This window comes from Homo sapiens, chromosome Y (genome assembly GCF_000001405.40).
Source record: "Homo sapiens chromosome Y, GRCh38.p14 Primary Assembly".
NCBI lineage: Eukaryota > Metazoa > Chordata > Mammalia > Primates > Hominidae > Homo > Homo sapiens.
In genome coordinates this window covers 4,953,721-4,956,581 of record NC_000024.10, presented here as the reverse complement: position 1 = coordinate 4,956,581, position 2,861 = coordinate 4,953,721, and the positions used below count along the sequence as shown (strand labels likewise).

Sequence of the window (2,861 nt, the reverse complement as noted above, 5' to 3'; positions counted from 1 at the left end):
ACTGTATTCTATGAGAATTCCACAGTAAGTAAAGTCCTTTGTTTTCATCATTTTCTGGAGTAATTCACAGTCAACAGTGACCTGAGTCCTGTTCCTAGGCCTTAAATGACAGCATAGATATAATAGTTTAGGTTATATTTTTCTGAACTGAGTTGCCTTACTTTCATCTATCTTTAAACTTTTCTTGAAACTTATCTGATGCTTTTCTGTCAACTCAAATAGCTATGTTATATCTTCTCACGGTTTAACACATCCATATATATTGGCATTTTTCTCTTGTTTCATTTGACTCTGTGCCATTTAAATTATCTGAGAGGTAAGGAACAGAGCCAGAAAACAGTGTACTCTGTTGTGCAGGCCTCCTGAAGATGCGTCCTAAAATAACGTAAGAAAGGGGCATCTTTCAAGTATGCAGAATATAAGGCCACATTTGTGCTATTATTTGAGGGATGCTATTACTCTTCCCTTGTCTTCAAATACTTTCTGCCACACACAAAAATGTCTCCATCCTCAACTTTCTGTATTGTGAATATGTTAAGGAAATTTTAGAATGCTTTAGGTCCTAATGGATTTCCTTGGTTCAGGAGACACAACTTAAATTTCATTTTATCTGGGAATACCTTCCTGACTCCTCTAGGTAATTAGGCTTTGCCCCATTCTCCTACTGATCCCTGTCTACACTTTAGTTGTAGCATAAGACAAATTTACTTGTTTTCATGATAGCTGACACAGTGCCTGAAAGAAAAATGCTCTCAATACATATGGGTCAACAAATACAAAATAAATAAATGAGGCAAATGCTTAGGGGAAATATTTTATTTTAAGCCTGAAATACCTCTCCATTAAATATTTGATAAGATCTGCATGTGAGTTAATTTGTTAAGAATAGGGAGTTGTGAGGAGTGAGTGGAGTGGGTGTTATCTCTCATACAAATGAGAAGGGAGTTTTCTGTGGAAAGAAGAGTAGAAAAGATTGGTAGATACTTCTTACAGCTTTTCTTACAGCCTGACTGAATTAAATCTTTGTATACCTAATCATGTCCTCTTTACCATTCCATACTATCTCCTGTAAAACAAAAATAAAATTCTAAGCCCCTTCACCATCTAAATAAACTCTTACTGTCAGCTAAGGGCATTCCAAAGTTAGCCTGAAAAACTAGTGTCAGGCCATGATGGGAAGTGGGAGCTGGACATGCTTAATTACACCCTTCTTCCTTTTGGAATTACTGGTAGAACAGATTCTTTACGTCTGATAAGAAACATTTACAATCTCTTCTCTCTGAGGCCGGCTACCTGGAGGCTTCATCTGCATGACAAAACCTTGGTCTCCACAACCACTTATCACAACCCAGACATTCCTTTCTATTGGTAATAACTGTTTCAACCAATTCACAATCAGAAAATCTTTGAATCCTCCCATGACTTGGAAGCCCCTGCTTCCCAGTTGTTCTGCTTTCTGGACTGAACCAGTGGACATCATATATGCATTAACTGATGCCTTATGTCTCCATAAAATGCATAAAACAAAGTTGTGGCCTAACCACCTTGGGCACATGTTCTTACAGTCTCCTGAGGCCTGTGTTACAGGCCATTGGTCAGTCATAATTTGGCTCAGAATAAATCTCTTAAAATATTTTAGAGGGGGAGGAGCCAAGATGGCCGAATAGGAACAGCTCCAGTCTACAGCTCCCAGGGTGAGCGACGCAGAAGACGGGTGATTTCTGCATTTCCATCTGAGGTACCGGGTTCATCTCACTAGGGAGTGCCAGACAGTGGGCGCAGGCCAGTGTGTGTGCACACCGTGCGCGAGCCGAAGCAGGGCGAGGCATTGCCTCACCTGGGAAGCGCAAGGGGTCAGGGAGTTCCCTTTCCGAGTCAAAGAAAGGGGTGACGGACGCACCTGGAAAATCGGGTCACTCCCACCCGAATATTGCGCTTTTCAGACCGGCTTAAGAAACGGCGCACCACGAGACTATATCCCACACCTGGCTCAGAGGGTCCTACGCCCACGGAATCTCGCTGATTGCTAGCACAGCAGTCTGAGATCAAACTGCAAGGCGGCAGCGAGGCTGGGGGAGGGGCGCCCGCCATTGCCCAGGCTTGCTTAGGTAAACAAAGCAGCCGGGAAGCTCCAACTGGGTGGAGCCCACCACAGCTCAAGGAGGCCTGCCTGCCTCTGTAGGCTCCACCTCTGGGGGCAGGGCACAGACAAACAAAAAGACAGCAGTAACCTCTGCAGACTTAAGTGTCCCTGTCTGACAGCTTTGAAGAGAGCAGTGGTTCTCCCAGCACGCAGCTGGAGATCTGAGAACAGGCAGACTGCCTCCTCAAGTGGGTCCCTGACTCCTGACCCCCGAGCAGCCTAACTGGGAGGCATCCCCCAGCAGGGGCACACTGACACCTCACACGGCAGGGTATTCCAACAGACCTGCAGCTGAGGGTCCTGTCTGTTAGAAGGAAAACTAACAACCAGAAAGGACATCTACACCGAAAACCCATCTGTACATCACCATCATCAAAGACCAAAAGTAGATAAAACCACAAAGATGGGGAAAAAACAGAACAGAAAAACTGGAAACTCTAAAACGCAGAGCGCCTCTCCTCCTCCAAAGGAACGCAGTTCCTCACCAGCAACAGAACAAAGCTGGATGGAGAATGATTTTGACGAGCTGAGAGAAGCAGGCTTCAGACGATCAAATTACTCTGAGCTACGGGAGGACATTCAAACCAAAGGCAAAGAAGTTGAAAACTTTGAAAAAAATTTAGAAGAATGTATAACTAGAATAACCAATACAGAGAAGTGCTTAAAGGAGCTGATGGAGCTGAAAACCAAGGCTCGAGAACTACGTGAAGAATGCAGA

General features: G+C 44.3%; 1 annotated feature.

The window, feature by feature from the left end:
- Positions 1,957–2,579: an enhancer, noted in NCBI's record as "NANOG-H3K27ac-H3K4me1 hESC enhancer chrY:4822044-4822666 (GRCh37/hg19 assembly coordinates)". NCBI's record gives its function as "activates a minimal SCP1, AML or CMV promoter by ChIP-STARR-seq in primed H9 embryonic stem cells {active_cell/tissue: H9 hESC(primed)}" and the evidence as "EXISTENCE:reporter gene assay evidence [ECO:0000049][PMID:30033119]".